The sequence below is a fragment of the Homo sapiens genome, chromosome 4 (assembly GCF_000001405.40).
Source record: "Homo sapiens chromosome 4, GRCh38.p14 Primary Assembly".
Lineage (NCBI taxonomy): Eukaryota > Metazoa > Chordata > Mammalia > Primates > Hominidae > Homo > Homo sapiens.
The window spans coordinates 109490215-109511691 of record NC_000004.12 but is presented as its reverse complement, the minus strand read 5'-3'; the positions used below and the strand labels follow the sequence as shown (position 1 = coordinate 109511691).

General features: G+C 36.9%; 1 protein-coding gene across 19 annotated transcripts in view; it reads right to left on the bottom strand.

Moving 5' to 3' along the window:
• SEC24B (SEC24 homolog B, COPII component) overlaps positions 1-21477 on the bottom strand; it is a 107082-nt gene that overhangs the window by 29205 nt on the left and 56400 nt on the right. For 10 of the 19 annotated variants that reach the window (NM_006323.5, NM_001042734.4, XM_017007652.3 and 7 more), the window contains 4 exons: positions 20285-20365; positions 16836-17077; positions 5180-5364; positions 1581-1683 (listed from right to left, as the gene is read on the bottom strand). In NM_006323.5, the coding sequence (NP_006314.2) occupies positions 1581-1683; positions 5180-5364; positions 16836-17077; positions 20285-20365 (611 nt within the window). Of the gene's footprint in view, positions 1-1580; positions 1684-5179; positions 5365-11637; positions 11795-16835; positions 17078-20284; positions 20366-21477 lie in introns of those variants that run through there. The other 9 variants (NM_001300813.3, NM_001318085.2, NM_001318086.2 and 6 more) reach the window with 2 other exon arrangements.

Below are 21477 nucleotides of genomic sequence, written 5' to 3'. Positions count from 1 at the left end.
AACTTTAGAAATAACAGTGAGAGAGAAACATACCATATACAAATACCTTTGTCTTTGTTGACTGCACGTGGTACTAGACTATTAGGCACTGCTCATTAGACTGCCACAGCAACTTCTGACAGGAGCTGAGGCCAGAAGCAGTCAAACACAACGTGCCTTTAAAAAAAATTACATCTCTATGCTTAGTTTGGGAAATGAATTTTATATTCAAGTAGAAACTTTAGAAAATATGAAAAAAGATTAAGAGATCACATATTATTCTATGTCTCTGAATTAACCTGCTATCATTTTAGTATATCATTCTGTTTTTTTCTATCTGCACATGAACATTTTGATCTTTGTATTTAATTTTTTCACATATATGATTATTATTATGCAAGTAACCACATATCTGTTGTAAAAAAAAATCAGGAAATATAGTTAACTGAGAATGAGAAAATAAAAAATTACAGAACTCTATATCACAGAAGATGTCACTGTAAACAATTTAGTATACATGCTTCCAGAAGGTATCATGTATATCTGTATTTAGAGAAAAACTCTCTCATATATATACATATATATAGTATACAATTTCATATATATATGAAATTAACTGTCTTGGTTTATAGATAAGGTTTTCAGAGTATTATAGGTGATTAAAAATATTTACCCAATGAATAAATTCACGGTACTTATCACATATTACAATTTTTTATTTTCTATTCATTTTGATCTTTTCTATACTTCCTGGTAGTAAAGTAAGCTTCACAAGGAAGCTTTTAATTTACCCTTTGTATCTCCAGCTTCCAACGTGACAGGTAGTCAATCAATATTTTTTGGATGAATGACAGCAAAAGAAAACTCAGAACCAGTAAGAAGGGTAGTAAACAACAGTAGTAAAAAAAAGTTTGAGACAGAAATGCAACTTATGAAGTACAAATAAAACAGCCCTGAATAAAATTATTTTTGAAGTTTTCAAAATTTAAAACTTTTAAAACTTTACAAGTTTAAAAATCCCTACTGTTACAAAGGTTATTTGTTGAATTAACAAATTTGTTTAATTTGTTAAGGAACAGGCAGTTTTCCTCTCTAAGTGGACATCACTGTTGGTGTTTCCTTTGTGTTTAATAAAGAACTCCGAAAGTGTATCTACCTTCCAGGGCCATTCCACCTTCCAAAACTACTAATCTTTCAAAATCCAGGACAGACTTCAACACTTATAGAAAACTTTTGCTATTGTATCCACAGGGAATCACTTCTCATACTGTACTCACTACCTAAGTATCTCATAGAATTTGATTAATTACATGTATTAATTATCCTGCACTGTAATTATTTTTACATCTTTGTTCCCTGTTAGATAAGAACTTTTTGGAGGCAACTTCAATGACTTGATCATCTCTGTACTACCAGTGCTTAGTTTAGAGCTTGTCACAAAGCAGGTGTTCAAAAAATGTTTGCCAAGTTGTTATGGAAATGATTATTTCTAACTTCAAATAAAAGAAGATATAGAAAATTCTAAGAAAATATAAAATTTAAGTACCTTGTACATAAGCATACATGTCAGTACCCATAAATATTATAAAATGTTACTTTACCGTTAGGTCTCTGAAGGGATGTAACAACAATCCTAAAGGAAGCTTAGCTTTATTCAGTAAAGCCTGTGTCTGTGGAATATTTGTCAAAGTACACCGAAATGAACTGCAAAAAACATAAACAACATGGAGGATATTAGCTATCAGAGAAAAATACACTGAAGTAGATAAGATAACTAAGAACATTTAAGGACATAAGTGAAAATCATTTGGGCATGTTACTGTAACTGTAAGCAAGAAGGTCCTGATTAATTAGGCATGTATGCAATATATGTCAAAAAATCTAAATTAAAGAGTCAACACTTTCATGGTGGAAAAATAGTACACATTCAGGGAAGACCAACTACTCCATTATGACTAGCCTGAAGGAGATGAATAGGAGCACACAGAAAACATAAGTGAAAAGGCCTACTTTTTTTTTTTTTTTTTTTTTTTTCTGAGATGGAGTCTTGCTCTGTCGCCCAGGCTGGAGTGCAGCAGCCCGATCTCGGCTCACTGCAAGCTCCGCCTCCTGGGTTCACGCCATTCTCCTGCCTCAGCCTCCTGAGTAGCTGGGACTACAGGCGCTTGCCACCATGCCCAGCTAATTTTTTGTATTTTTAGTAGAGACGGGGTTTCACCATGTTAGCCAGGATGGTCTCGATCTCCTGACCTTGTGATCCATCCGCCTGCCTCGGCCTTCCAAAGTGCTAGGATTACAGGCGTGAGCCACTGTGCCTGGCCAAATAACTTATGAAGTTTTAAAGTCAATAAACAAAGAATGAATAAAGGAGATGCCAAAGCAGTAAAAAGCAGAAGTACTGAAAGCCAGGCAAGAAATTTTATGAAGAGTCGTTAATATCATGTAGAGATATCTATTTATTCCAGCCTTAGTGTTGTTCCTTGAACACAAAAAGCTTGTTCCTGCTTCAGGACCTCCATATTTGCCATTCATGCAGGTTGGAACCCTTTTATTCCCAGAGAAGTCATGTGGCTTACTCTCTCACTTCACCCAGATCTCTACTCAAATGTTAAAAGTCTTTGGGTAAACCTGTCCAGACTCTTCTATTTACAAGAGTCACCCTCCACCTGCACTCCTTATTCTGATTTATTTTTCTTCATTGTAATACCCTAAACATTACATTATATATTTACTAGTTTGACTGTTCATCGGAGAATATAAGTTCTGTGATTCCACAGAGATCAGGAACTGTGTTTTGTTCACAACTTTATCCCCAGTACACGGAAAACAGTGCTTTGCATTTAACTTCCAAGGCATTTGATAAATGTTTATTGAATGATTTATTTTAGTATGCTGATACTATTATTATTCCTGTTTTACAGTTGACAAAACTGAGACTTTGAGAGGTTAAATAAATTGCACAGTTTCACAGCTACTTAGGTCTGCTCAACTCTAAAGCCTGTACTCCTAATTATTTGTTATTTTGATAAAAGAGACATTTTCGCAAAACACACATAACTGGGTAGAAAAATGTATGCCTTCCCCTTACCTATGGGTTCTCTTATACATATGCAACATATTTTTTTTTAATAATTTTTTATTTTTTTGAGACAGGGTCTCACTCTGTCACCCAGGCTGGAGTACAGTGTTATGATCTTGGATCGCCACAACTTCCACCTCCTGGGCTCAAAGGATCCTCCCACCTCAGCCTACAGAGTAGCTGGGACCACAGGCACATGGCACTATGCTCAGCTAATTTTTTTGTTTTTTTGGAGGAGAAGGGGTTTCGCCATGTTGTCCAGGCTGGTCACAAACTCCTGGGCTCAAGCGATCCACCTGCCTTGCCTTCCCAAAGTGCTGGAATTACAGCCGTGAGCTACTATGCATGGCCCATACGCTACATTTACCTACGTAGGGGGTACCTAACCTTTTATACTACAAGGTCATAATTTACAAACTTATCAACCTGGTAGCAACTTATATTTGGAAGGATGGGCAGCTGTTTTCAACCTATAATCCATGACACTCTGTATTTTTACGGAAACAATCTTGGCAGTACCTGAGGCACTGATGGTGTGTGGATGGTACAGTGGAAGAAGAGGGGAAATTCTCAAAGCAGCTCCACTTCTTATTTTCTATATTGGAATTCTATATAATATTTTGGTTGAAGAGTGGTTTGCCGCTTTTTTTTTAAAGCTGGAAAACTACTGCTTTAAGAAAAGGGAAATAGGCTGGGCACAGTGGCTCACGCCTGTAATGCCAGCACTTTGGGAGGACGAGGTGGGCGGATCACCTGAGGTCGGGAGTTCGAGACCAGCCTGACCAACATGCAGAAACCCTGTCTCTACTAAAAATACAAAATTAGCTGGGTGTGGTGGCACATGCCTGTAATCCCAGGTACTCGGGAGGCTAAAGCAGGAGAATCACTTGAACCTGGGAGGCGGAGATTGCGGTGAGCCGAGATGGCGTTATTGCACTCCAGCCTGGGCAACAACAGCGAAACTCCGTCTCAAAAATAAAAAAAAGAAAGAAAAAAAGAAAGAGGAAATATTGGCTCTAAAGAACACTAATTCTCCTAATGCAAGGAAGAAGACAATGTTGGCCAAGCGCGGTGGATCACACCTATAATCCCACCACTTTGGGAGGCCAAGGCGGGCAGGTCACCTGAAGTCAGGAGTTCGAGAACAGTCTGCCCAACATGGTGAAACCCCATCTCTAATAAAAATACAAAAATTAGACACGCATCATGGTGCACACCCGTAATCTCAGCTACTTGGTGGCTGAGGCACGAGAATCACTTGAACCTGGGAGGCGGAGGTTGCAGTCAGCTAAGATCGGGCCACTGCACTCCAGCCTGGGTGACAGACTGAGACCCCATCAAAAAAAAAAAAAAAAGGAAGACAATGTTGTTCTGTGAATCAGTGTTTACTTTATGAGGAGGAGAAATTCCAGATGCAGGAGGATGTCTTCCAAAAAAAGAAAAAAACTAGGACCAGGGGGATATCCTATTCATAGGATACAGAACTAAAAGCATGCAAGAACAAAGACATGAGGCACTGTGAAGTGAGTAACAGAGCTCATTCACACAAAGGTACACCAGGGCTTGGTGGTTGCCAGTGCAGTCTGCCAGCTAAACTTCTCTATTAAAGGAAATCCAGTCTAGATTCAGACTGGATTAAGCCTGGGAGTCAAAGGTCTTCATACTCTATATTGAGTGGGAAAAGAAAATTCTGAGATAAACCATTTATCTAAACCTGTTCTTGAGATTACATAAGTGAGGTCTATGTTCTTTTCAAGCAAAGCCTGAAATTTCAAATATCTGTCCTTATTGAAAAGATATCAGAAGTTATTATTATTGAAAAGTGAGGAAAAAGATTTAAGAAATAAAAAATATAGTTATATTTGGGTTCCTGAAACCCTTCATTCAAATAGAAATAATTTCCCTAACATTAGGTGATGGGGGGAAGGGACTGGATTGAGACAGAGATGGGAACAAAAAGAGATGACCTAAGTCAAATTTTACATCTATACAAACTAAAAGAGAAAAGTCAACATTAATGAAACTTCCAACCGAAGAAATAACATACTACTTTTACTATTTTTGAAAGTCATACAATGTTTTCATCACTTAAGAAAGATTATAAAATAAATAAATACCTACTCTGGGCTACAGTTTAATTTTTTGAGGTCTGCATTCAAGTTAGGTACAGGAGCCCAAACAGGAGTCATAGGTAAAATATTCCTCTCCTGAGTAAGGTTTACAGGTCTCAGGCTTTCTGGTTGTGGAGAACTCTGAAGACTCAATCCTCCTATACTGGAGGATAGCTGGTTCACACCAGGATACTGCTGAAAGAGCAATTCAAAACAAAATAAAAGAACAATAAAACATAAATAAATTTTCTTATATATACTACATATCTCAACATACAGAAAAAGCAAAAAGGTAAGAAAATTTAAATCTGGCTTGGTATGCAGTCAATCTAAAGCACACTTGAAAAAAACTCAAAGCAAAAGTACTGAATAAATTTGAATCTTATTAGCAAGGTTAACCCTCGCAATGAAATTTCAGCAACAATGCTTTTCAACATGAGCAATTTGGTTTCCCTGAATACAGTTTATACTTGAAAAACACGATAAGTGCCCCACTGTTCTCAAGGTTCCCCTCCCCCAATTACCAACTTTCACAATAATGAGTTGGTACCATAGAAATGTACAATCGTGTTCAATAGGTTTTGCCTTATTTTGTTTCCTATGTTTTTAATATTATCATGAATTAATGGCTTGTTATCTCAAACTGATGTAATGAATTACAGTCATTATTCTTATGATGTTCAAACTACCCAATCTTTAGCCAGTGAAAGCCCTTTCAAGATGGCCCCAGTGTCCTTTTATATGAACCTAACTAGCCTTTGATAGTTTCCTTGCTTTCTTACACACTATTTTATACTCTTTTACTTCAAATCTAGAATTGTTTGTCTAAAAAGGAATCTTGGCTCCTTTTAAGTAGAGATGATATCTAAAAACCATAATCTGGATGATAAAGGTGCTTATTGCTAGTGTGCTGTTATTACTTCCAGATACTTGGCAACAGGTAAAGATGGAAAATACACATGTTAAAGTAGAAGCAAATAATGAGTCCACGTTGACAGTTCCAATACAAATTTAAGATGACGGGGTTTTTACTTAAGTTCTTTGATTTTATACCGGTATCTCTGTTCTCTTTTGCTACAAATCTTTATTTCTAATGGTAACAGCATTATTTTATCCTATAATATACATTTATAACACCACCAATATTATGTCAGATTATTAAATTTTTCATAGTTCTTTTTGTCCTTACGTTATATCCCACTGAGATGTATAAAATACTAGGTTTTAAGATCAGCTTGAACAGTACTTTTCTTGGTATTAGAATGTATCCAACTTGATAAACAGGTTTTTTAATTTTATTTTGTTTTTCATATTTAAGGATCATTTTTAATCTTTTTGGTTTTTGAGTAAACATAACATTTATATAATTCTAATGTCAAAAAACATTACAATAAGGTACTAATACAATAAGGTATTCAGAGATATCTTATTTCACTCTTGACACCTCTGCCTATAGTTAACTATTTTTATTAGCTTATAGTTTAATCCTTCCATTGTTTCTATTTATATAAGCTAAACATATATACTGTTGTAAATATAGCCCCCTTTTCAACTAAAAAAATGTCCTGGCAATAACTCTATGTCTATACCTTCTGCATTTCTTTTTACAGCTACGGAGCACTCCATTATGTTAATGTGCTATAGAATTCCAGCTAATATATGGATAATGATAAATTCAGAAAAATCACTATTTAACAATCCATACTGAAATAAATGATTCAGGTAGTGGTCACTTGTAATGGAAGACCAATAGATATCAACAGATGATAAAGCCACTAGGTGAAAGCTTAATGAGGAACTTCACAATTAAAGGATCAGGCTGTCATTGTATGAGGCACTAATCAAGCCTAGCAGTGGTATAAGTGAAATAAACAGATATTATTTTGAAGTGTACATCACCAAAATACATATTATGGCCTAACTAAATAAATAATTGAAGTAATACACCTAAATATAATCAACCATTAGATCTAACTCCCAATCCATAGAAAATGAAACAGAAATAAGTTAAATGATACCACAAAGAAGCAAACAGCTAAATTCAGAATGAGGGACATTCTACAGAACAACAGACTCAGTTATTTTACCAAAATCAAAGGCATTAAAAAAAGGGAGTGGGGCTTGTTTTAAATTAAAACAAGAATTAACAGGCATAAGCAAATAGAATTAGTAAACTATTATTTGGGTTTTAATGTGAACAAAGTATACAAAGGCATTTTTGAAACAGTCTGGAAAATCTGAATATAGACTGAATTTTAAATGACATTTAGAAATTATTAATTTTGTTGGCTATGATAGTAGTATTGTGGTTATGTAAGAAATGCTGTCCACCTCCCTAATTTTAAAATCCTCAGCAAGAAAAGTGGTGGTGGGATGGTAGGCAGTGTGGACCCATATGAAACAAATATAGCAAAATGTTGACAGTAACTGAAGGTGGTGATGTTAAGGAAAAAAATGACTGGATAATAAAAAGGATTCTCTTTTTTTCTGTAGAGCTGTAAAAAATCAGAAAAATGATCACATGGATTAATAGCAGCATATAACAGAAAACCCCCCAAAAGACCCAAGTTTCTAAGAATTTAGGATATAAAATAAAGGTAGGATATTTAATCAGAGAGAGAAGATACATTATCTAATAAATGATAGTGAACTAAGGGTAAACCATTCTGCAGGTGAAGGGGAGAGAATGAGACTTATTTACATTATGTACCAAAATAAAACCTTAGATGGATTAATGATGCAAAACCAAAATCATCAAAGAACTAAAAAAAACCAGCTAGAATACTTTCCTGATTTTAACGCTGAAAAGACCTTTTAAAGGATACAAACAAAGGTAAAAACAATAAAAGAAATTATAAAATGAGGCCAGGCGCAGTGGCTCAAGCCTGCAATCCCAGCACTTTGGGAGGCCGAAGTGGGCGCGTCACTTAACTTCAGGAGTTCGAGGCCAGTTTGGCCAACATGTTGAAACCCTATCTCTACTAAAAATACAAAAATTAGGCGGGGCACAGTGGCTCATGCCTGTAATCCCAGCACTTTGGAAGGCCGAGGTGGGTGGATCATGAGGTCAGGAGTTCAAGACCAGCCTGGCCAACATGGTGAAACCCCATCTCTACTAAAAATTGAAAAATTAGCTGGGTGTGGTGTGGCGGGCGCCTGTAATCCCAGCTACTCGGGAGGCTGAGGCAGGAGAATCGCTTGAAACCGGAAGGCAGAGGTTGCAGTGAGCCGAGATCGAGCCATTGCACTCCAGCCAGGCAACAAGAGTGAAACTCTAACTCAAAAAAAAAAAAAAATTAGCCAGGCGTAGTGGCACATGCCTGTAGTCCCAGCTACTCGGGAGTCTGAGGCAGGAGAATCGCTTGAATCTGGGAGGCAGAGGTTGCAGTGAGCCAAGATCGCACCACTGCAGTTCAGCCTGGGCTAAAGAGCAAGACTCCGTCTCAAAAAAAAAAAAAAAGAAAGAAAGAAATTACAAAATAACTACATAAAATTTAAGTATTTCTCCAAGGTAAAAAATAAAAACACACTAAAATTAAAAACCAATGTCAACATGGCAGAAAATTACAATACACAAACACAAAAGGTTTACACTTATTGCAGACACACACAACAATGGTGAAAAAATATAAACAGGGATTTCAGTAAAGAAATACATATGACCAATAATTATAAAAAAATTTTTTGCTTATACAAAATAATTACTGGGGTACTTCACAATATAGAGAAAGGGGCAATTAAATACATTCTTGCTTGAAGTATACATTGGTACATTATTTCTCCATACTTGACCAACAACCACTGATCAAATACTGTTTGACATCTCCATTAGGTATTTTAATTTAACATGGCCAACTCAATTCCCATTCCTAGACCTTTGTCTTCATTATCTTAGTAAATACGCTAACCTCTACCCAGGTGTTATGCCAAAAACCTAGGAGTTACTCTTGACACCTTCCTTTCTCTCACCCACCACATCCAATCCACTGGCATATAAAAAGTTATCTCTTATCTATTCACTTTTTACAACCTCCATGATACTACCTTAGCACAAAGAACAACCATCAATTTCCGAATTAGGGCAGAACTTCAATTTGTCTCTCTGTTTCCATTTTGTCTTTTCAAATACTCCTATCTCTAATCCATTCCTCACACAGCAGCCAAATGATTTTCTAAATATGTAAATTAGATGTCATCCTATTACATAAAATCTCTGATACCTCTCTTATGCACCTCGGATAAAATCTAAGCTTCTGACTGTGGTCCTTTAGCTCTTCGATCTCATCCCTATTACTCTTCCCATGGCTGAATTCCCACAACACTGGGACTTTATTCCTCAAACATGTCAAACTTGTTCCTGCCTTAAGTCTTTGCATATCAGTTTACTCAGCCTGAAATGCTTTAACCACAGATCCTTCCATGCTTTTTCTTTCTTCCATATGTTAACTCAAACCTAACTTCTACAATGAAGGCTGCTTATCTGACCACCTACTCCACATTTTCACCCCAGAAACTACTTCAACTTGTCTTACTTCATAGCACTTGTAACTACCTGAAATTAATTCTTTATTTGTTTACTTATTTATTGTCTTATTAATCCTGACCTCCCACCAACCTTCTTAAGAGCAGGAACTGTTTGGTTCACTGAGCCTCCTCTCGTATTCTCAGTGCCTAGAATAGTACTGCCACAGAGTAGGAATAAACTTCTATTGAGTAGAGAGAAATTCTAAAGTCTTAAAGAATTAAATGCTGGCCGGATGCAGTGGCTTGCGCCTGTAATCCCAGCACTTTGGGAGGCCGAAGCAGGTAGATCATCTGAGGTGAGGAATTTGAGACCAGCCTGGCCAACATGGTAAAGCCCCATCTCTATTAAAAACACAAAAATTAAGGTGGACATGGTGGCACACGCCTATAATCCCAGTTACTCGGGAGGCTGAGGCAAGAGAATTGCTTGAACCTGGAAGGCAGAGGTTGCAGTGAGCCGCGATCCTGCCATTGCATTCCAGCTTGGGACACAGAGTGAGACTTCATCTCACAAAAAAAGAAAAAAACAATTAAATGTTTTGATTCTGTAATTCCACTTAAGGAAATAGTTAAGGCAAATGCACAAATTGTGTGTGTAGTCACGTCGCTTAATGATGAGGACATGTTCTGAGAAATGTGTCGTTAGGTGATTTTGTCCTTGTGCAAACATCACAGAGTGTACTCACAAACCTAGATGGTATAGCCTACTACACACCTGGGCTATATGATATAGCCTATTGCTCCTAGGCTACAAACCTGTACAGCACTGTTACTGTGTTGAATATTGTAGGCAACTGCACACAATGATATTTGTATATCTAAACATAGAAAAACTACAAGAACAATATAGTATAAAAGATACAAAATGGTACACTTGCATAGGACACCTAGTATGAATGGAGCTTACAGGACTCAAAGTTGCTCTGGGTGAGTCAGTGAGTGAGTGGTGAGTGAAGGTGAAAGCCCAGGACACTACTGTACTGTAGGCTTTATAAACACACACATTTAGGCTTTATCAAACCTATAAAAATATAGTTTTTGGCCAGGCATGGTGGCTCACATCTGTAATCCCAGCACTTTGGGAGACCTAGGCGGGTGGATCACCTGAGGTCCAGAGTTTGAGACCAGCCTGAATAACATGGTGAAACCCCATCTCTACTAAAAATACAGAAATTAGCCGGGCGTGGTACTGGCAGGCGCCTGTAATCCTCCAGCTACTTGGGAGGCTGAGGCAAGAGAATTGCTTGAGCCCGGGAGGTGGAGGTTGCAGTGAGAGCCAAGATTGTGCCACTGCACTCTAGCCTGGGTGACAGAAGGAGACTCCGGAGGAAAAATAATTTTTCTTTCTTCTGTAATACATTAGTTTACATAACTTCTTTACCTTATAAACTATTTATTTTAATAGGTTGGTGCAAATGTAACTGTGGGTTTTGTCTTTTTTTTTTTTTTTTTTTAAGATGGAGTCTTGCTCTTGTTGCCCAGGCTGGTGTGCACTGCTGCAATTTTGGCTCACTGCAACCTCTGCCTCCTGGGTTCAAGCAATTCTCCTGCTTCAGCCTCCCTAGTAGCTGGGGTTACAGGCACTCGCCACAATGCCCAGGTAATTTTTGTATTTTTAGTAGAGACAGGGTTTCACCATGTTGGCCAGGCTGGTCTCAAACTCCTGACCTCAGGTGATCCACCCACCTCAGCCTCCCAAAGTGCTGGGATTACAGGTGTGAGCCAATGCGCCTGGCCTGTCACTACTTTCAATGGCAAGAACCGCAATGACTTTTGCACCAATCTAAATAACTTTTTGACTTTTGCAAAAACAGTGTAAAACACCCATTGTACAGCTGTACAAAAAATGTTCTTCCTTTTACAGCCTTATTCCGTAACTTTTTTCTATTTTAAATTTTTTTCCTTTTAAACTTTTTTGTTGAAAATGAATACACAAACACACACATTTGCTTAGTCCTACACAGGATCAGGATCAATATCACTGTCTTCCATCTCCACATCTTGTCTCACTGGAAGGTCTTAAGGTGTAATAACATGTAAGGAGCTGTCATCTCCTGTGATAACAATGCCTTCTTCTGGATTCTTCCTGGAGGACCTGTGTGAGGCTGCTTTACAGTTAACTTTTGTTTTTTATAAATAGAAGGAGTACACTCTAAAATAAAGATAAAAAGTTTAGTATGAGTAAATACATAAACCAGTAGTCATTTATTTTCATTATCAAGTATTATGTACTGTGCATAACTGTATGTGTTATACTTTTATATGACTCGAAGTGCAGGTTTGTTTGATGCAGAGCATCACCACAAACACATGAGTAATGCACTGTGCTATGACATTAGCACAGCTACAAAGTCAATAGTTGACAGGAATGTTTCAGCTCCATTATAATCTTATGGGACCACCATCACATATGTGGTCCATCATTGACTAAAATGTCATTATGCAGCACATGACTGTATGCATGTGCGTTTATGTATGATAAAGTATGTGTGTGTATATACACACACAAGGATTTTTTTTTTCTTTTGTCACAGGTTCTTGCTATATTGCCCAAGTTGGTCTCAAACTCCTCAGCTCAAGTGATTCTCCTGTCTTAACTGGGATCACAGAAGCACACCAAGCTTAAAATGATGTTGATTTTGAAACTGAGTTATGCCCCGCAAATGGGAGACTCATTATAAAACATACAAGTCCCAAAATGATGAAAGATATAATAAGAAAGGTTTCTTCTTATACTGTTAAACAAATTTAAACATTTTCCAAAGTGATATTTGTATTTTTCAACTTCTTTTGTTTGTTTAAACAAGTCATCTAGACAACCAGCTTCTTGCCTGGCTTCCCTAGCAAGGTGTAGTGAAAGAAACCTGGAAGGACAGACTCCAAGCATTGCTGTTTACAACCTGGTAGAAATACTGGTTAATATTTATTAGTATTTTCCCTTTTGTTTATCTGCATTTTCTCTAATTGATCTCACTAAATTTGTAATTTTTAAAAGCTATATAGTATCTATATCTGGTTTTTCATATATTCACTGAAAATATTTTTCTAATTTTTATTTTTGTTTTTAAACATCAGCCTTTTCCCTGTTTTTCCACCCTAAAAAACAAATTTTAAGGTGTTTTTTTTTCCTGTCAAAAACCAACTGTTAGGGTTTCCCACTACTTAATAAGTCATCTCAAATTAATCAATACAAAGAAAAGCCCTTACACAGAGCTCTTTCATTGCACTACATTAGGTACAACATTTAAAGGCATTTCAACTTTATTATGACTGTTAAGACTGTTTAAAGCTAAGCTAAGATATTATTACCCTACCTGGAACTTCAAAAATAAATGAGCCAGGCGTGGTGGGTCACACCTGTGATCCCAGCACTTTGGGAGGCCAAGGCGGGCAGATAACGAGGTCAGGAGATCCAGACCATCCTGGCTAACACAGTGAAACCCTGTCTCTACTAAAAATACAAAAAATTAGCTGGGCATGGTGGCACACGCCTGTAGTGCCAGCTACTTGAGAGGCTGAGGCAGGAGAATCGCTTGAATCTGGAAGGTGGAGGAGGCAGTGAGCCGCGAGCCGAGATTGCGCCAATGAACTCCAGCCTGGGCGACAGAGCAAGACTCCGTCTCAAAATAAAAAAAGGCTTCTTTTAAAAAAGTTTGATAATTTTAATCTTCGATGAAAATTTATAATCTTTTTTTAGTAGACAGGTAAGAATTTAAATGTAGGTCCTAGCTGTATACCTAAATCATTACTGTTCACTGACCCTAAAACAGTAGTGTTCAAAAAATGATTTCAAATTCAGATCAGACAAAAATAGCTGCTTGTAATCTTCCTTGGAAAGATCCATCTATCAAGTCTGAGTATGATTTTTTACTGTACAAATCCTTACCAGTTAAAGAGAAAAAAAGTGCTTAATTCTGTACTGCAAGGTCTTTTGCATTCTTAGAACCAAGCCTGGTACTGGACAGGTGATTTCACTTATTTGAGTTTCTATTTCCTCACAAAATGAAAGGAAGGTGACTATTTACAATTTAGAAAGTCAAAATTCCAAGTGTTGACAAGAATGTGAAGCAACTGAACTCTCACACACTGCTAATGAGGTAGAAATCAGAATATCACTGTGGCAAACTGTCTAGCTTTAACTGCTAAAGTTGAAAAATGAATATCCAGTGGCCCAGCAATTCCATTCCTAGATATATACACTCACTAAAAGACAGGGACAGAAATGTTCACAATAGCATCATTCATAATGGCCCCACACTGGAAAGTTACCCCAATGCCCATCAACAATAGAACAAATAAACAAACTGGTCTATTCACATGATTGAGTACCACATAACAATGAAAATGAATGAATTACAATCACACAATAAGCATAATGTTGAGCAAAAGATTCTAGACACAAGTACATATGGTATGCTTCCAATTATGTAAAAAAAAAAAAAAGAAAGGTGGGAATGGTTGCTTTCTAATAGTCTACTTCTAAATATTTTGGCTTTATGATGCTCACTTAAGTGTGATTAATAACCCAGGTTACTTTTTAGTATATCTTTGTCCCCTTTATCCAAACTTTCCTAACACTTGTACTAGACCCAGAATATAAAAAGGATTGTGATTACAGAATAAAATGATGTTGTATTTTTTAATTCTGGTAGAATATTTATTTTTACTCTTATCCCAAAGGTAATTTTTTGACTTTTCTAAAATAACCTCCCAAATAAAATACGAAATGAAAAATACTTCCTACACTCCTTTGTCACGGGTCAGCAAACTTTTTCTGTGGATAGTCAGAAGGTCATTATTTTAAAGCTTTGAGAGCCACATGATCTCTTTTGCAACTACTCAACTGTACTACTGTAGTGCAAAAGCAGCCATAGACAATAACATAGAAGAATGGGCATGGCTGTATTGCAATAAAACTTTATTTACAAACAGGCAGTGGGCCCGATTTGGCCAGAGGGCCATGGTTTGCAGACTATTGTCCTAAGTTATTATGTAAGACCATTTACTATTTCAAAATAATTTTTTTTTCTCCTTGCTCAACACTCCCAAGAATCAATCCTTTCTTTGAACCTGGTTTTCTCATCATAAAAATTCTAAGTAAATAATATGTTACAACCCCAAATAGGAATTTGCCTAAAAGCACAAGAGTCAAACAGGACAGACTTAAAAATTGTTTCACATGAAACAACAGAGCCATAAAGAAAATCTAGCAAAATGGGAGGCAGAGAAATCTGTACTAACCAACCATATTCCTCTGATGTCTCTCAGTTTTCTTCCTTTTTCCTCTGTACTTTAGTTCTAAGGTTAAATTCCAGAAACAAATAATTTTCCTTTTTCTTTTGCCCCACCCCTGCTCAAGATGGGCTCTTGGTATGTCACCCAGGCAAGATTCAAACTCCTGAGCTCAAGCAATCCTTCTACTTTAGTCTTGAGTAGCTAGAACTACATGAGTAAGCCACTACTCCTCACTGATTATCCTATTTCTCATTTTCATTCTTACTTCACCATAAAATTTCTATAAGGTTAGTCAACTGAGAACAGTTTTCTGTAAGTAGCAATACTCTTGTCATTAAAATTGTTTCCTGGCCAGGAGCAGTGGCTCACACCTGTAATCCCAGCACACTTTGGGAGGCCGAGGCAGGCGGATCACTTGAGGTCAGGAGTTCAAGACCAGCCTGGCCAAAATGGTGACACCCCATCTCTACTAAAAATACAAAAATTAGCCGGGCATGGTGGTGGGCACCTGTAATCACAGCTACTCGGAAGGCTGAGGCAGGAGAATCGCTTGAACCCAGTAGGCGGAGGTTGCAGTGAGCTGAGATAGCGCCACTGCACTCCAGCCTAGGCAGTAGAGTGAGATGCCATCTCAAAAAAAAAAAAAATTGTTTCCCTGTATTTTATTTTCTTTCAATAAATATAGATGTGAATGTAATACTGTCCTGTTAAGTATTTAACTGTATAAATATCATATCAGTTGTTAAACTGCTAAGTTTATGAGGTGGCTCCAGAAAAGGTCATGTCAGAATGGGTCCTAGCAGCAGTGATATAGGAGTTAAAAAGAAATCACTTAGGCAGATAGTGAGGGTATGGGAATCCTCAGTAAGGCTTTTCTTTTTAATGAAAAGCAGCCCCAAACCATTCTCTAACGAAGAGCAGCCTGTAAAGTCGCGCTGCAGACACAGACAAGCAAGCTGGGAGCCTGCAAGAGTGAATGCTGGCAGGAACTAGGGGCTAGACATGTTCAAGATGGCAGCTCCATCATCCCTTATCTGCCAGTCACACGAGCAGACAAGATGGTGCTGGCCAAAGATAATTCATTTGCATAATAAGATTAGGGTAGGGCAACCAGCCTTTCCCCCAAGGCCTCATGTAAATGTCACAACTAATCGAACCGATCTGCGAGCCCTAGGTAAATAAGACATTGCCTCCTCAAGATGGACTATAAAATTTGGTGCATCCACCTCCAGCCAGTGTTTTCCACTCAGAGGCCCTTCTCTATGGAGAAAGCTGTTTCTCCTTCTCCTCTCTTCTGCCTATTAAACTTCCACCCATAAACTCCACGTGTGTGTCTGCATCCTAAATTTTCCTGGCTGCAAGATGACGAACCACCGGTTTAGACCCCAGACAATGTAGCCACTTCAGCGGTAAATGAGCATGTGAGCCTATGAGCATATTTATGTGTGTGGAGGCTCTCATCAAGGTGAGTTATGTGTCATAAAGTTCTTCAAATGCAGGGTAGGGACCAAATCACATTTTACCTGTCATTTTCTAAGGAGAATGCCAGCTTGATAATATAAAATTTTTTTAAAAACTTAACATTTACTTAAATTTTCTGATTATAAAATTAATACTTGCAATTGTAGACTCTGAAAAATAAAGATATCATGAAGAAAAATAAAATCATATCTAATATCTTGATCTAGATTTAACCTCTTTAAAAATGTGATATTTATATTTCATTTAATCTTTTTCTACATATATACACACAAAAAAGCTGAGATCAAATTCTATGTATGTTTGATCTAGGCTGACATGTATTTGTACCTAAGTTCCACTTGGATCACAGGTACAAATCCCACCAGTAACTTGTCAGAATTAAGTTTTATAACTGTTACAATGTGTGTATATGACTGAATACATACTTGAGGATACTGCTGGAATCCAGAATATACCGGGTTACTGGGCTGTACTCCAGAAATAAGTGGTGCTGTAGCATTCTGATAACCAGGCTGAAGTGTTGGATAGCCATAGCCAAAAGGCTTAGCCATTTTTGAAGGCTGAGGGACGACAGGAGCTGGAGCTGAAGCTGGAGCTGGAGCAGAAGCAGGATCAGGTTCAGGGGCGGGATCAGGAGCAGGACTGCTTGCTGATGAAGAAAGCATATCTAAAAAATGGAAACACATGGTGTTAACAACTGAAAATCAAGACTCCACAAAGACTGGACTCCTGATCCAGTCCATAACCCCTGACATTTCCTTTTTACTTTTTAAAGCTTTTTATTCTAAGAAATTTTGGACACACACAAAGTAGGGGGAATGATGAACCCCATATACTTATCACTAAGCTTCAATAATTATCAATATTTTGTTATCTTGTTTTACATGTTGTCATACTACATCTTTTTTTTATTCCTTTTTACAGAAACTCCACCCCATATTTTACATCACTTCACCAACAGATACATTAGTTGGTATTTCTTTTTTTTAAAATAGAGATGGAGTCTCCCATGTTGCCTAGGCTGGTCTTGAACACCTGTGCTCAAGAGATTTTTCTACCTCGGCCTACCAAAGTGCTGAGCATACAGGTGTGAGCCCCTTGAGTTGGTAATTCTAACAGATAAGAATATATTTATATAATACACACAAACGCACACACAAAGTTAATAAAGTTTTAAAAAATTCTCTCAGCAGAGACTAAGCACCACAAAACAAAGCAAGCAATAAAAAGGGTGCCAACTACTCTTTTCTCTAATTTGCTTTATCTAAACCTACCATCTATATAAAAACTAACTATGGAAGGAGTAGCATGTTTCCATAATCCCCTAAAAATATGCATTATTTGCAGTAGCAAAACTGTTAGTCAAGTATGAAAGATAGTGTCTAGAGGCTGGGCGTGGTAGCTCACTCCTGTAATCCCAGCACTTTAGGAGACTGAGGTGGGTGGATCATGAGGTCAGGAGTTTGAGACCAGCCTGGCCAACATGGTAAAACCCCGTCTCTACTAAAAATACAAAAATTAGCTGAGCATGGTGGCAGGCACCTGTAGTCCCAGCTACTCAGGAGGCTGAGGCTGCAGTGAGCCGAGATTGCGCCATTGCACTCCAGCCTGGGCCACAGGGCGAGACTCTGTCTCAAAAAAAAAAAAAAAGGTAGTATCTAGAATAGTGTCCTGCTCCTAGAACAATGTTTAGTATGTAATAAATGTCAAATAAAATGTATTTAATGAATGAATGCCCTTATTTAAATTTAAAACAGAAAGTGGAAAACAAAAAAACTGCAGAAAACTTAAATATCATATACAAAAACAGTAACAACAAAAAGAAACTCTACACATAACCATTATTAACAATTTGGCATATTGACTGTTTAGTCCTATTTTGAAGTCAACTCTACAATGTGCATTCATTTTAGTTCGTAAGATATCCTTCACCAGCATTTGGGATTCTGCAAAAATATATTCTTAGAAACATTTAACTGAATCAATCTATTTTTTTTTTTCTTGAAGAATCACATCTCCTTATTGGGTCTAATTCTGAAGATACACTCCTAGACATTCTGCTATCATCTTGTGCTGATTAGGCAAGGATCAGCTTACTGGCTTTCTGGTAACCTCCCAGACTTCTTAAAAGGATAAGACCTTCAACATGCTGTCATAATCCTTAGATCTCCTGCTTGTCCCTCCTCATGGTGATGGAAACATAGGCAGAAAGTTCTCTTAACATGACAAGTTATCAGCATAAGAAATAAAAAAAAACAATGGCGCTGGGTGCAAAGGCTCAAGCCTATTATCCCAACACTTTGGAAGGCCAAGGTGGAAGGACTGTTTGTAGCCAGATGTTTGATACCAGCCTGGACAACAAAGTGAGACCCCATCTTTATGAAAAGAAAAAAAAAAAAAAAAGCTGGATATGGTGGTGTGCACCTGTAGTCCCAGCTACTTGGGAGGCTGAAAAGGGAGGATGGCTTGAGCCCAGTAGTACCAGGCTGCAGTGAACCACGATCATGCCACTGCACTCCAATAAACATGAAGGTCTAAATCTTCTCCCCTTCTTCAGGAAAGAATAATATTTCTAGGTTTCTATAGATCTATTCTAGTACCTGACATATAGTAGGCCTACAATTCATTTAACATTACTGCTACAGATGCTCACGTAGTTCTTTAATTTTGGTGTAGTATAAATAGAAAGAAAACTTGTCCAAGGTTACTGAAATACTCTCAACACATAGTTCATTATAAGATTAGAATTCGTTGACTGAATGAATACAAAGAAACCAAAGTCTGACTGCAGGGCCAGAATCTTTCAACTATACTACACTAGACATTTCATTTCACATTAATCTAGAGCTCATGGGATACTATATGGTTGTTCATCTTTTAGTAAATGAAGCAACTCTTCTAGAAGATCTTGATAAGAGATTGTTTTTGGAATGGTTTACAACTTCTTACACACACAGACACACACACACAAAATTCCTAGGGGAAAAATCCTTAACTACAAAAAACTGAGTCGTTTATTCAAGTATTTTTAAAATATTACAAGGGAATTCCATACTGAGCTGAAAAGATTAGTTTTCTACTGATTCATAGAATAGTGATAGCAAGATAGCATGGGTTTTTTTTTTTTTTAAGTATAGAACATTCCAACTTCAATTAAACTTCATCCTGGATCATCAACAAAGAGATAAGAAATAAAAAGAAGGGCAAAACTGCTTTTTCTGTTAGTTTTGAAGCTTGGAATCATTAGGAAAAGAGAGAGAGAGATCAGGTACAGTTGTCAGGTTGTCAGTGATAGGAGACAGGAGGGCAAGAAAAATCACAGTATATTAAAATGAAATGATAGTTTTTTCTTTCAATACTATCTACTCCTGTACTTGAATGTAATGGCTAAAGTGATTTCCAGATATGGTTAAAAGTGATGTCTCCAAAACCTACCCCCAAGTTGAAGGTAGCATCTATTTACCTACTAGAAGCAGCCAGAAGCCATTGAGGGAGCAAAGAGTCAAAGACTATACTCAGAGGCTGGTTGAAAAGAATTCAAATTCAAAGACCTAAGCATGACAATAGAAATATAAAATTTATTTAAGGAGTAGTTATTCTTTAAAAAGAAGGGGAAAGAAGAGAAAGGCTACTGAAAATCTTTTAGAAAAAGATAAAGAGTATTATAACAACAAAAAATAATAGCCCCAGAAACAAGCTTCATAGTTGTTAGTGACAACGCTATTAAGTTGAGGCTGAGAAGTGCCAGAAAAATGTCCTTTTTTTCTTGTTAAAAATATAGCCTGCTATTATGTGTAATACATGTTCACATTTGAAGGCAACTGATGGTCAATAACTTTCAAAATGAAGATCAAGCAAGCACAAAACAAATTACCTGGGTAACTGCCTCCTTCCAGGGCATCATAACTGTTGGGCATTGGAGAAGCACTGCTTGTGGTAGAAGAGCTGTCAACACCTAAAAGGAAAACCAAAATATCTACTAGGTTTAAAATGACAAAGTATCTTAAAGCAGCCTTTGGCAATTTTGAAAAAGATGTTTTTGCGGAACTAGGAAAATTCCTGATTCTAGTAAAAAAGTAAAATGATTGATGTCTAGAGACATTTTAAAAACCAATGAATTTCTGTTAAGAATAGAAGATGAGAGTGGAGAGAATATGAAGCTGATGAGTGGGATAAAATTCAGTTAAACATGTAAAGTATCTTAGAGAAGAACAGATATTAAACTATTAAAACTAGTCAAACACATAAACAAAAACTTTAGGTTGATAGAAATGTTAATATAGTCACATCTTAAGGATTACATCTACCAAATATACTACTAAATATATTTTATCAATATTAGGGTATTTTAAGGTAATTAAATTTTAATGACTTTTATTTATATCATAGCACACTGAGACATTCATAAATGAGGAGTCTGTGGCTTAGGTTGCTATCTGGCATGCTACTAAGCTTTTCTGTGTCTCAGTTTACATATCTGCAGAATAGAGATTAAATAACACCTGCCATATTTAATAAGGTAATATAAATGAAAGGCACACTAATTCATATAAATGTTAGACTATAAGAATTTTCATTATGTGTGCTCATTCAAAACCTGTTAAGATGAGAGTTCAGTGACAATTTATGATGAAATGTGGTCACAGGTCACATGAAAAGAACAAGCAATATACTTCTTCCATTCATTCAACAAATATTTTGAGACCTACAATTATCCTGGGTACGTATGCTAGCGTATATTATGATGAATAAAATAAAAAATCTGCATGATCCTTCTATTATGTTAGAGATCTTGCTTTGTTTCACAGTAAGACAAAATTCTGTGCTACAGAGGTTATCCCTTGCTATTAATACCAGTATTATAACTGGTGTTTAAACTACATTTAGGTTAATTTTCAATTGTAATAGGGAAGGAACAGGTATGCATAATTATTTTTCATTGAATAATTTTAGATGAACATGAGAATCAGGTATACCGACTCAGGGCATAATAGCTGATGTTTTTTGTGTAGGAACATTTTCTTATCAGCAAAGAACATGATTTGGAGGCAAAGACTGCAGTTACAT